Source organism: Homo sapiens, chromosome 5 (genome assembly GCF_000001405.40).
Source record: "Homo sapiens chromosome 5, GRCh38.p14 Primary Assembly".
Lineage (NCBI taxonomy): Eukaryota > Metazoa > Chordata > Mammalia > Primates > Hominidae > Homo > Homo sapiens.
This window is the reverse complement of record NC_000005.10, coordinates 149,987,677-150,000,694: the sequence shown is the minus strand read 5'-3', so window position 1 is coordinate 150,000,694 and position 13,018 is coordinate 149,987,677. Positions and strand designations below refer to the sequence as shown.

The 13,018-nt window shown below is 43.8% G+C and overlaps 1 protein-coding gene across 3 annotated transcripts, besides 3 other annotated features; it reads left to right on the top strand.

The window, feature by feature from the left end:
- Positions 29-817: an enhancer, noted in NCBI's record as "H3K27ac hESC enhancer chr5:149379441-149380229 (GRCh37/hg19 assembly coordinates)". NCBI's record gives its function as "activates a minimal SCP1, AML or CMV promoter by ChIP-STARR-seq in naive H9 embryonic stem cells {active_cell/tissue: H9 hESC(naive)}" and the evidence as "EXISTENCE:reporter gene assay evidence [ECO:0000049][PMID:30033119]".
- On the top strand, positions 41-7,577 carry TIGD6 (tigger transposable element derived 6). 3 transcript variants are annotated; one of them, NM_001412172.1, is made up of 3 exons: positions 41-221; positions 379-767; positions 4,266-7,577. In NM_001412172.1, exon 3 carries the CDS (start codon positions 4,347-4,349, stop codon positions 5,910-5,912), a length of 1,566 nt encoding a protein of 521 aa, NP_001399101.1. In that variant the 5' UTR covers positions 41-221; positions 379-767; positions 4,266-4,346; the 3' UTR covers positions 5,913-7,577. The 3 variants fall into 3 exon arrangements, with proteins under 3 accessions (NP_001399101.1, NP_112215.1, NP_001230182.1); NM_030953.4 differs by lacking the exon at positions 379-767; NM_001243253.2 differs by having other exon boundaries at positions 41-767.
- Positions 222-301: a silencer, noted in NCBI's record as "silent region_16505". NCBI's record gives its function as "represses an Ori minimal core promoter by ATAC-STARR-seq in GM12878 lymphoblastoid cells {active_cell/tissue: GM12878}" and the evidence as "EXISTENCE:reporter gene assay evidence [ECO:0000049][PMID:35858748]".
- Positions 9,805-9,864: an enhancer, noted in NCBI's record as "active region_23393". NCBI's record gives its function as "activates an Ori minimal core promoter by ATAC-STARR-seq in GM12878 lymphoblastoid cells {active_cell/tissue: GM12878}" and the evidence as "EXISTENCE:reporter gene assay evidence [ECO:0000049][PMID:35858748]".

Sequence of the window (13,018 nt, the reverse complement as noted above, 5' to 3'; positions counted from 1 at the left end):
GGTCGGCAGCGCGTGACTGCATGCGACCCCTGGCGCAAGCGCAACAGCCCAGCCCTAGCTTGGGAGCGGACCCACACGAACTGCTCAAAGGCTTGGAGCGGGTCTAGTAAGGCGAACGGACTGCTTCCGGCCAGAGGTCCCGGGCGGAGGAGGAAGCTGTGGCTGCCGGCGGTGGGACGCCCCGGCCGCTCAGCCCCCGGGCACTGCTGTGGGGCGTTCAGGTAACAGGGGCGGGGCTGTGCTGAGCGTGAGGGATCTAGGCCCCGCCTCACCTTTCAGAGCCACGTCGGGCGCTGGGAAGCCTACAATACCACCCTCTCCTCAGCACGACGTTCAAGGCCTGACCTCAGCCTGTCTCAGTCTTTCCCTCTCATTCAGGATCGGGTTCATACGTAGTGCCGCATCAAGTAGCGCCTTCATCACTCCAGTGATCTGCCCTCAATCCGTCTCTCCCACTGGCCCACGAATAGTGATGGTAGTGAGTTCCTGGAGTGACTCAAGCTGAGCTGAATGACCGTATGGAGAGCTTCCGTAAATCAAATAGGGATTGGATTGGATTGTCCTTTCTCTCCAGTGTCACAAGTTGTCCACATTTGTACAAGTTCCCGCACAACCCTCACTGTATTCCAGTCTGCCTACTTCTCTGCATCTACCGCCATCACCAACCTTCTAGCCACCATCATCTCCTGCCTGGACTGATGTAGTTCTCCCCACATCCCCTCTACAATCCATTCTCCACGAAGCAGTCAGATTGATCATTTTGCACTGTAAGTCTGATCAAGTCACTCCCTGCTTAAAACCCTCCAGTGTCTCATTCACTTAAAATAAAATTCAGACGTCTTAGCTTGACCAAGACTTGTCTGATTTGGCTCTTGCTTCATTCTCTTTCTATGTCTCCTCTCAATATTAGTAGTTCCCAGAACCAGCTATATAGCACTCTGTAGTGTTTGGAGTGCTAGCTTTGTTGTGAGCCTCCTGGGTTTGAATCCCAGCCCTGCCACAAGTAAGCAATATTAAGCAAGTAAAGTGCTTAACAAATGAGGTTTACGCAGTAGATCCTCCCACCTCAGTAAATGGCACCATCATCTGCTGGATTCCTCAGTGCTCAAACCAGAAACCTGGGCGTTATCCTTGACTCCTCCTTCACCTCACATCCGGTCCAGCACAGGGCTTGCAAAAACATAGCCCCAGACTGACTACTACTCACCATCTCTCTATTACTACTCTAATCCAAGCCACCATTATCTCATGTGGACTCCTGCTTTTTTCTCTGATACCCTTCCATTCTTTACACAGCAGTCATCTCTCCTTCCTTAAAATCCTTCAATAGCTTCCTATTGCACTCAAATTAACATCCAAACTGTATATGGCCTACTGGTTTAGCCTGCTTTTATCTTCAGATTTAAGGCCATCTCTTAGGAAAATCAACTTTACCCATTAGGTTCTCTACCCTGCAACCAAAAGACTATATTGTAAATCTGATCATGTCATTCCAGAAAAACAAAACCAAAAAACCGTCAAAAGCCTCTTAATGCCCCCAAAGCAAGCTAGAAACCTGACTAGGACTTCCTGTGATTTGGTCCTTGCTTTCTTCTCCAAAGAATTTTTTGTTCCTGACCAGGACATTCTATTTCCTATATAGTATTTCATTGCCTTTCATGTTAAATATTTCCTTTCATCTCATGAGTTCCTATTTGTTTATTCTTTAAGGCCCACCATATTATTCCCTCTTTGAAGTGCACTGCCCATCCATGCTCCATTCCAGTTGATTATCTGCACATTTATGTTCCAGTAGTACTCCGTAACCTCTGATTTAGTTTTCACATGCTCTAGTGTTTGTCTTCCCTGGTAGGCTCCTCAAAGGTGGGCACTATGCTCCATTCATCTCTGTATGGCTGGCATCAAGCATACTGCTTAATACATAGTACATGTCATGAATGGATGGATACATGTATGGAGGTGATAGTAAAAATCTACCCTTGAGAAGGGACAGTCATAGCATAAAGTCACAGCAGGTTCTCTTGTCCTTTAAGGATTCTCATGATAAAATGCCTACGAAGGCAATTACCCAAAACTGCTACTGCTGGATCATGTTTTGTTGGACCAGCGTAGGGCAGGGGGACTGTTTGTTTTAAATTCTGAATACTTCTAGACAGGATACACCACACCATTCTCCAAATACTTCAATCCCTGTTTCACTCACTTACGCCACCATCCTGGCCCCTAAAGGCATTTGAGTTTGAAGCACCTATCTAGGGTCCAAGACTTAAATCTGGAAGGACCTTAGGCATCATCTGGGCTTGTGGTTTGCAACCATGGGACTTTTCAAAAATATGTATTAAAAAAAAAAGGAAAAAAAGAAAATAGGCCCAGAGAGGGACTGTACTACAACCTGCCCATCACTTCTGCCATAATCTGTCACCTAATTGGTCTCTTTGCCTCTTTGATCCATTTTCCACAGAACAGCCAAAGTGATCCTTTTAAAATGCCTGAAAACATCCGTGGATTTCTGTTGCACTCAAAATACCAATTCTTTACCATGGCATCTTTGTTTGTTTGTTTGTTTGAGATGGAGGCTCGCTCTGTCGCCAGGCTGGAGTGCAGTGGTGTGATCTTGGCCCACTGCAACCTCCGCCTCCTGGGTTCAAGCGATTCTTGTGCCTCTGCCTCCCGAGTAGCTGGGATTACAGGCATGCGCCACCACACCCAGTTATTTATTTATTTATTTTTTTTTGAGACGGAGTCTTGCTCTGTCACTCAGACTGGAGTGCAGTGGCGCGATCTCAGCTCACTGCAAGCTCCGCCTCCCGGGTTCACACCATTCTCCTGCCTCAGCCTCCCGAGTAGCTGGGACTACAGGCGCCCGCCACCACGCCCGGCTAATTTTTTTTGTATTTTTAGTAGAGACAGGGTTTCACCATGTTGGCCAGGATGGTCTCGATATCCTGACCTCGTGATCCACACGCGTCGGCCTCCCAAAGTGCTGGGATTACAGGCGTAAGCCACCCCATCCAGCCTACCATGGCATCTTTGAATGGTCTGGCCACCCACCTTTGTCATATACTTGGATTCATGCAAATATTTCAGTTCCCTGAATACCTCAAGCTATTTTCGGTGTGTGTGTTTTTTTTGTTTTTTGTTGTTGTTGTTGTTTTTGAGACAGAGTCTTGCTCTTGTTGCCCAGGCTAGAACGCAAATGTACGATCTCAGCTCACTGCAACCTCCGCCTCCTGGGTTCAAGTGATTCTCCTGCCTTAGCATCCCAAGTAGCTGGGATTACAGGCACCCGCCACCACGCCCGGCTAATTTTTGTATTTTTAGTAGAATCGGAGTTTCGCCATGTTGGCCAGGCTGGTCTGGCCGCCTTGGCCTCCCAAAGTGCTGGGATTACAGTCATGAGCCACAGCGCCCGGCCTATTTTTGCTTTTGAGGTTTTGCTGATGCTATGTCTTTTGCTGGACAGCCCTTTCCCCATATTCTTGGAGATCTCAGCTTCAGTGCCATCTTAGTGAGGACATCCCTGACCACCCTTTGTATAATAAGTAGATCTTCCTCTTTTATTCTTTGTCATAGTCTTTATTTCCTTTATAGCACATATCACCCTCTGTAATTATCTGTTTACTTTTTATATTTCCCACCACATTTTATATTTCATAAGAACAGGGACCTTGACTCTTTTGTTCATTACTCTACCCTTAAAGCTTGGCACCTGTAAATATAAAATGAATGTATGGCTACCAGAAACATCTTCCCACAGTAAAAATCTTTCCAGGCCAGATGGTGGTAGAGCTTTGAAGATCTCACTTTGGTGGAATTTCAAGCAGGACCATGGCCTGGCAGAAATAGTAATCTGAGTTAAGAAATCTAAGCTGCATGAACCCGGGTAGGCCCCTTCCCAGGGCCCCAGTTTCTGTGTCCATCAAAGAAGCTGGAGAATAACTCGGAATGTATACAGTGCAATGCTATTTGCCAAGCTCTTTCACTGCCTGTTATTTCAATCTGTTCTCATGGTAGGCAGAGCAAACATTGTTATTCCCATTTTTATGGAGGTTCAGAATGTTTAAGTAAGCTAGATAAGATCACTTCTGTTTCAAACATTCTGAGTCTTTACAAGTAGCCTCTACAAAAAGTCAGTAGCATGAATCCTATCTTTTCTTTACTTTGACTGTAAATTGTCCTTTCCTAATACAATTTGTAAAAATCCTGAACCATCTTTTAGGGGAAATCCATTGTTTCCTGATAGGTACTCCATTTTGTCTTCTCAGCTTTCCACACTTGGGGCAAAGCAAGCCGCGAGGAGGAACCAGACAGTCCTGTTAGTTGTGGCCAGCCCTCATTCCCTGGAAATGGCAAACAAGGGGAACAAGAAGCGTCGGCAGTTCTCTCTGGAGGAGAAAATGAAAGTTGTGGGAGCTGTAGACTCAGGCAAGAGGAAAGGTGATGTGGCAAAAGAATTTGGTATCACTCCCTCTACTTTATCTACATTCTTAAAGGATCGCACCAAATTTGAAGAAAAGGTGCGGGAGGCATCCGTGGGACCCCAGCGGAAAAGGATGAGGAGCGCTCTTTATGATGACATTGATAAGGCTGTTTTTGCTTGGTTTCAAGAAATCCATGCCAAAAACATTCTTGTGACTGGTTCTGTCATTCGGAAAAAAGCACTAAACTTGGCCAACATGCTTGGCTATGACAATTTTCAAGCAAGTGTGGGCTGGCTGAACAGATTTAGAGATCGCCACGGAATTGCTTTGAAAGCAGTCTGTAGAGAAGATAGTGACAGGTTAATGAATGGTCTAGGAATAGATAAGATTAATGAGTGGCATGCAGGGGAAATTATAAAACTGATTGCTGACTACAGCCCAGATGATATCTTTAATGCTGATGAGACAGGAGTGTTTTTCCAGTTGCTTCCCCAGCACACACTTGCTGCTAAAGGAGACCACTGTAGAGGGGGCAAGAAAGCAAAGCAGCGGTTGACAGCACTCTTTTGTTGCAATGCCTCGGGGACTGAAAAAATGAGACCATTGATTGTTGGTAGGTCAGCCAGCCCACACTGCCTCAAGAACATTCATTCCCTCCCTTGTGATTACCGAGCCAACCAGTGGGCTTGGATGACAAGGGATCTGTTTAATGAGTGGCTGATGCAAGTGGATGCCAGGATGAAGAGGGCGGAACGCCGGATCCTCTTGCTCATAGACAACTGCTCTGCTCATAACATGCTTCCACACTTGGAAAGGATTCAGGTTGGGTATCTGCCCTCCAACTGTACTGCTGTCCTGCAGCCACTGAATCTTGGCATAATTCACACCATGAAAGTACTGTACCAGAGCCACCTTCTAAAACAGATCCTCCTCAAGCTCAACAGCAGTGAGGATCAAGAAGAGGTGGACATCAAGCAGGCCATCGACATGATTGCTGCAGCGTGGTGGTCAGTCAAGCCATCCACAGTGGTGAAATGTTGGCAGAAGGCAGGCATCGTCCCTATGGAATTTGCAGAATGTGACACAGAATCAGCAGCCAGTGAACCAGACATTGCCATTGAAAAGTTGTGGCACACAGTGGCTATTGCCACCTGTGTCCCAAATGAAGTAAATTTCCAGGACTTTGTTACTGCAGATGATGATCTCATTATCTCTCAGGACACAGACATCATCCAGGACATGGTGGCTGGCGAAAATACCAGTGAAGCAGGAAGTGAAGATGAAGGGGAGGTATCTTTACCAGAGCAACCAAAAGTCACCATCACAGAAGCCATATCAAGTGTACAGAAACTTAGACAGTTCCTTTCCACTTGTGTAGACATTCCTGATGCCATTTTTGGACAATTAAATGGCATAGATGAATATTTAATGAAAAGAGTGACACAAACCCTTATTGATTCCAAAATTACAGATTTCCTCCAAACAAAATAATGCAGGAATTTATTTCAGAAAATGTAGTTTACAAGAATAAAGATTTCTTTAGATAGGTTGTTGAGCCAATTTAAGTAAAGCAATGTTATTGTGACAACATTCCAGTACTCTGAAATAGCCAGGAAACTTCTTTGAATGGAATTTGACTAATATGTGTGTTTTCTTTTCTTTTGTTTTTGGCTGTCTCTGGTCCTTGATTCAAGATGTATTTTGATTCATCCAAGGGTTTCCAAACTTGTCTGCAAATTAGGATCACTTGAGAATCCTTTAAAAATTCCAAAGCTCAGGCCATATCCCAGGCCTATTAAATCACAATCTTTGGTGACGGGTCACAGGCATTGGTAGTTTTGAAGCTCTCCAGGTGATTCCAATGTGCAGACAAATTTGAAAACTGAACCAACCACAGGAACATCAAGTACACTGTGGGCCTGGGTCCAGCTTCTTTCCAGTAAGTGTATCTCAGGGGCTTCCAAATTTAGCTTACATCAGAATCACTTGGAAGGCTTGTTAAAACCCAAGGCTGCTAGGCCCACCCCCAGAGTTTGATACAGTAGACCTCAGGTGGGACCCAAAAATTTGCATTTCTAACACATTCTCAGCTGATGCAGTCCAGGCTCCATGCTTTGAAAACCACTGGTCTAGCTTTAGATAGGATATTGAGCCAATTTAAATAAAGCAATATACTGGTCTAGCTGAGTTCTAGAACTTCTCTCTTTAGCTGGCCATCTGAATACTCCCCCATCACTAATTGTTAAAAAAAGAATCAACTGTTCTTACTCTAGAGCTCTTTTTTCCTTTCTGCTGATTTGCTGGAAGCACTACAAGACTTCTGTTTGTTCGTTCGTTTGTTTGTTTGTTTGTTTTTAAAGATGGGGTCTTGTTATATTGCCTAGGCTGGAATGCAGTGGTTATTCACAGGCATGATTATAACACACTACTCTCTCTAACTCCTGGCCTCAAGCCATCCTCCCAAATAGATGGGACTACTGATGCACACTGCCATGCTGGCCTTACGAAATGTTTTAATAGGCATTTCACTAATAGGGATCTGGAGTACAAGGAAATACAGTGCATTTAAGACATAGGCTGGGCATGGTGGCTCATGCCTGTAATCCCAGCACATTGGGAAGATCACTTGAGGCAAGGAGTTTGAGACCAGACTGGCCAACACAGCGAGACCCCCATCTCTAAAAAAAAAAAAATTAATAAGACATGGATACAACCAGGGAGGGAGGTTATAATAATAGAGCATCCTGTTAATCAGAATCATGGGGGAGAACATACAGCCCAGCGTGCCTCTCACTTTCCAGAAAGGGTGAGAGGATCATTAGAGAGTTCATTAGAGAGTATTTATTCCTAATAAGTCAGATAAATGTCAGTTTCATTTTTAGAAGTTTCACACAATACCTGCTAATGGTGTGATGTCATTTTTCCCCCTGCTTCAGGTTAATTTTTTGGATATTTCAGAAACCCATAGCAATTCAGTGATTTTTCTTTTTGTAGTAGCTCAGTCAAAACAGGTAACAGCAGATTAATCATAGAAAATGTTGCTTCCACATTAACAAAACAATCACTGAAAAACAGCAGATGTTTAAATAGATTATTTTATAGCTTATTTTGGATATTTTTTCTTTTAATAAACTAATATGATCATTTGAATTAAAAGTACTGTACATATTTTAAATTCTTAACATGTGGGAGAGGCAAACTCTTCTGGCTAAGTCCTGTGGTTGTATTTCTTTGTCAGCTCCTTAATTGCTGTCATCATCCTCTCGTGTCAGGATTACTGCCACAGTATCTAATTCCTTCCCTCACCTTTCTCCTGCAGTCCATTCTGCACATATTGTTTGATCTATTGGCATCACACCATTTCCCCTGCCCAAGTGTCTGTAGTGGCTTTCAAATGCCTACAAAAAAAACTATTCAGCTGAGTTTTAGTATCCTCTATAGTTGACTACAACCTGCATTTCCAACTTGTTAGCTCGATACAATTCTGTGTACATAATGCTCCCTGAAGAGGCCATTGTTTTCTTTTACTGCATACCGACTTCTGCCTGTGTGCCTTGCCCAAATGCCTCATCCTGTTTTCTACTAAGCTAGGCCCTACACATTCAGGAACTAACTGGAATCCTCTTTCTTCCAGGCTTTCTTGGAGACTCCAGCAACTACTCCACCTGTTTTCCCCTCATCTTCTCCAAACTTCTTGTCTGTACCACTCAAATACTTAGATGTTTTCTAGATGTTCTCTGGCTCTTTAGACTGTAAGTTCCATGACAGCAGGGATCAGTCAACCTTTATAATCTTAATGGTGCCTAGGACTGTGCTGGACACATCGTAGGCACTTCAAAAAACATTTGTGTATAAATTGATAGACACGTACAATGTGTTGAAGCCACCTTATTTTTAAAGCTGTATTAAGCATTGATTCTACTAGAAATGGCTTGGAGATAAGGTAGGGTTTTATTCCATTTAAAAGGGTTTGCAAAATTTTTCCATGAATATAGTTGCCTCAAATATAATTCCAATCCAGGTTATAATCTCTGTTCTTTGATAATGAATTATATATAATGTAATTTGATAAGTATATAGAATATATACTATTTATAGTTGAACCCATGTCCCTCCACCAAAAAGTCATTGCAGGACTTCTGTTGGCTTCCATTTATACACACAAGACTTTAGTATGAAAGGGCTTGTCTAAGTGCTTTGCATATAGTAGATGTTCAGTAAATATGTGCTTAAACTTGCTTTTTTAAAAAAACAAATTTAACATCCCTGGCCGGGCATGGTGGCTCACACATCCCAGCACTTTGGGAAGCCAAGGCAGGCAGTTTGCCTGAGGTCAGGAGTTAGAGACCAGCCTGGCCAACATGGTGAAACCCTGTCTCTACTAAAAATACAAAAATTAGCTGGGCATGATGGTGGGCACCTGTAATACCAGCTACTTGGGAGAGTGAGGCAGGAGAACCACTTGAACCCTAGAGGTGGAGGTTGCCACTGCACTCCAGCCTGGGTGACAGAGTGAAACACCATCTAAAATAATAATAATAATAATAATAACAAATTTAACATTCTTGATTTACTTAATATATCATGATTTAGATCCTGGACTTCCATCGGAAGATGGAAATCATCCGAAAAAGAAAATTTTTTAGTTCAGTTTACACTGGCTAACACTTCGATTCTATTGGATATCAGGGGTTTTTGGTACTTTGTTAAGCTAAAAGAGGTTGATATTATCCCTCGTCAGGCTTTCTGTGGCTTCTCCGTGCCTCTTTGGTCACTCCAACCTCACTTGAGTGGCAACCCCACTTCTGCTCCAGTTGACTAATCCTCTCTGTAGGCCAACATACTATACCTAGGCACCTACCTCAATTGTGTTGTCATGAGGATAAAAAGGTGTACCTGAGACTAAGTGTTCTATAAATGCACTCTATTGTCATTCCATCCCTATTTGGAACATAATGAGTATCATCTAGAGTCAAGGACCTGCCTTATCAGCCCTTTTTTCCACTGACAGGTCTTGGGGTTCAGTGTTTGAGAGCCACCAGCCTAATCAATAGATGATAATTCAAGTTTTCTGTGCCATTACTCATAAGGGCCCTGATTCAAAAGCAAGTAAGCTAAGATTTATTGTCTATTATATTTCAAGCACTGTTTACTTATTATTTAATATTTTTAGTAAATCATAATACAAAACCACAGTAGACTCAGATAATTTAATTCCAAGGTTGTGGACCTATTAAACTGCTGTTCATGCTACCTGAAGCCAGACTTATCTTTAAAGTGGAATGTGGTAGCATACTGTGGCCACCAGAGGGCACAGGTGGACTACATAGGGAGACAGCGTCAACTGAAGAAACCTTTGGAGCTGCCACTTGTAATTTCTCTGATGTGGTACAGATTGAGAGGGAAGGCAACAAGGAAAGAAGGAAGAGACATAGGATGTTGGACTTGTTCAAACAATTTACCTAGAAGTAACTGCCTGGGACCACCTAATCCCCTCCATTACATACCATCTCTTCTCTAGAGACTTTTCCCAACCTATTAATAACCATAGGCCAGGCTGAGCATGGTGGCTCATGTCTGTAATCCCAGCACTTTGGGTGGCTGAGGCAGGAGGAATGCTTGAGCCCAGGAGTTTGAGAGCAGCCTGAGCAACATAGCAAGACCCCGTTCCTACAAAAATGAAATTAGTCAGATGTGGTGGCTCATGCCTGTAATCCCAGCTACTCGGAAGGCTGAGGCGGAAGAATTACTTGAGCCTAGGAGTTTGAGACTGCAGTGAGCCATGATTGCGCCACTGCACTCCAGCCTGGGTGAAAGAGCAAGACCCTGTCTCAAAAAAAGGCAAAAACCCAAAACCAAAAAACCATAGGCTATGTAACTGATCGTGGATAGACACTCAAGCTCTGGAAATGAGGCAGTATTAGGGAAATAATTACCCAACAAACATATCCATGTTTGCAGTAATAACTTATTTAACCTTATAAACCCACTGCAGGTCATAGGAGCTCTAAGGATGGAGCACATGGCCCTACTCTCAAGAAGCTTAGTAGAAGAGATAGACGGGACGTGGGGGAGTGAGTGGTAAATGTCATTTTTGAGAATATGCAAATAATATATTTTACTCTTTATGAGTGGTAAATGTCATTTTAGAGGATATGCAAAGATATACAGGAGTATAGAGGTGGACCCTAAAGGAGCCCCTGAATGAGAGAAGAGGAATTCAGTAGGAAATGTTGCTAAGGAAAAGGGACATTTGATAAGTATCTGGAAGGAAAAGTAGGGAGTTAGGGAGATGGGGCTGGGAGGCAACTCCTGGCAGAACAGCATATATAAAGGCCTGGGGTATTTTTTTTTAATGGCCCATTTGGGAGCACCTAAGGTTGGTGGGTGGTAAGCCAAGCAAAGGATGTGTGGTAGAACGAAAGGCTGGAGATGTAAGGGCAGAGTTTTTTAAGTCTTGTGGGTTAGACCATTTATTTTGAACTTATCCTAAAGGCACTAGAGACCCCTTCTACTTGCCCTAAGTAGCAATGGTCAACTTCTTTTTAATTAAAATAATTGATAACTAGTATGGAGGTTGGATTGTAGAAAAGCAGATAAACTAGTTAGGCTGTGGTATAGTACTGAAGAGAAATAATTAACACTGAGGGGTAGGAAAAACATGTTGGATTTGAGAGGCATTTACAAGGTAAGATGGATTTAGTGTGGGAGTTGTAAAGGGAGATTTCATGAAATTTCAGGTTTCTGCTTAAGTGGCTGGGTCGTGCCAGGATCAAAGTATGTTACCAGGAGAAAGGAAGACAAGTTTGAGGGTCATGTTACATGTGAGATGTCTCTGGGCATCCAGGCAGTTGTCTGTTAACAACCAGCCCTGGAGATTTATATACAGACAGATAGACTGTTTGGCGTTCTAGAATGGTTAGGCTAGAAATATTTTTTGGCTGCCACAGATAGCACGGTGATTGAGGACATACATGTGGATGAAGTTATGTAGAGTGGGCTTATAATGCAAGGTGTTCAACATATGGGAGTCCATGAGCCAACCTTTTTAGAGCTATACGTGTATACCTGCACATGTGGCTATTTCCCTGAGTCATACTTTCATCAGCCTCAACTGGATCTGAAAACAAAATACTTAAGCAGTGGTATTAAGTGAAGAGAGAAGAGGCCAAGGACACAAGCCCTGAAAGGACAGATGGGGAAGTGAGGCCCTCCAAGATGGCTGACAGAGATGCTCCAGAATGACTGAGTGTACCTCACAGGGCTCTGGATCCTAGGTGCTGCTCACAGGCAGGAGTGCACACTACGGTAAGACTGGAAGGACCCTTAGACTATTCAACTCCTTCACTCTGTGAGGTGGGAATGAGGTTGGGAGAATGCTCAGGGTTACTGCAAAAGGAGGACTAAAAACTGTCCTTAACCCTGTACCCTCATGAACTGAGCGAGGCATAAAGAGGAGGACATTCTGGGAGAGGCTTCATGGCATGTATAGGGTGAGAGTAGTGCTCTATTTCCTTACAAAATGGTGTGCTCCAATCAGGAATCTACTCCTAGTTCTCTCAGTCATCAGAAGGTGTTAGCCTCTATTTACTGATGGAAAAAAAATGTGGCTCAAAGGTCACTTGCCCAAATTCAGAGTTAAGATAGTAGTAAAACATGATCCAAAATTGGGCTTTCTGATCCCAGTACTGTATGGAATAGGAGTCACGCACGCCTATAATCCCAGCATTTTGGAAGGCCAAGGCGGGAGGAATGCTTGAGCCCAGGAGTTCAAGATCAACCTGGGCAACATGGTAAAACCCCGTCTCTACAAAAAATAGAAAAGACTAGCCGGAGTGTAGTGGCACACACCTATAACCCCAGCTGCTCAGGAGGCTGAAGCAGGAGGATTGCTTAAGCCCAGGTCAAGACTGCAGTGAGCCATGATTGCGCCACTGCACTTCTAGCCTCAGCGACAGGGCAAGACCCTGTCTCAAAACAAACAAACAAAAAACAGAAAGGGTCCTCAAGCAATCTAGTCCTCCTCCCCTCTTCACCAAAGGTTTAAGTGACTCATTCAAGACCATAAAGGAAAAAGAATTGGATTTCTTTATGTCCTTCTCCGAGGACAGATCCTTTTGTTATGACTGGGAAACATTAATGACTGAATTACTCTCCAAATGTAACAGATGATTTTTTTTTTCTTTAGATGGAGTTTCGCTCTGTCGTCCAGGCTGGAGTGCAATGGCCTGATCTTGGCTCACTGCAACCCCTGCCTCCTGGGTTCAAGCAATGCTCTGCCGCAAGCCTCCCGAGTAGCTGGGATTACAGGTGCCTGCCACCACGCCCGGCTAATTTTTGTATTTTTAGTAGAGACGGGGTTTCACCATCTTGGCCAGGCTGGTCTTGAACTCCTGACCTCGTGATCCACCTGCCTCAGCCTCCCAAAGTGCTGGGATTACAGGCGTGAGCCACCGTGCCCAGCCTAACACATGATATTTTATTTTATTTATGTATTTTTTTGAGACAGAGTCTCGCTCTGTCACCCAGCCTGGAGTGCAGTGGTGTGATCTCGGCTCACTGCAACCTCTGCCTCCCATGTTCAAGCAATTCTCATG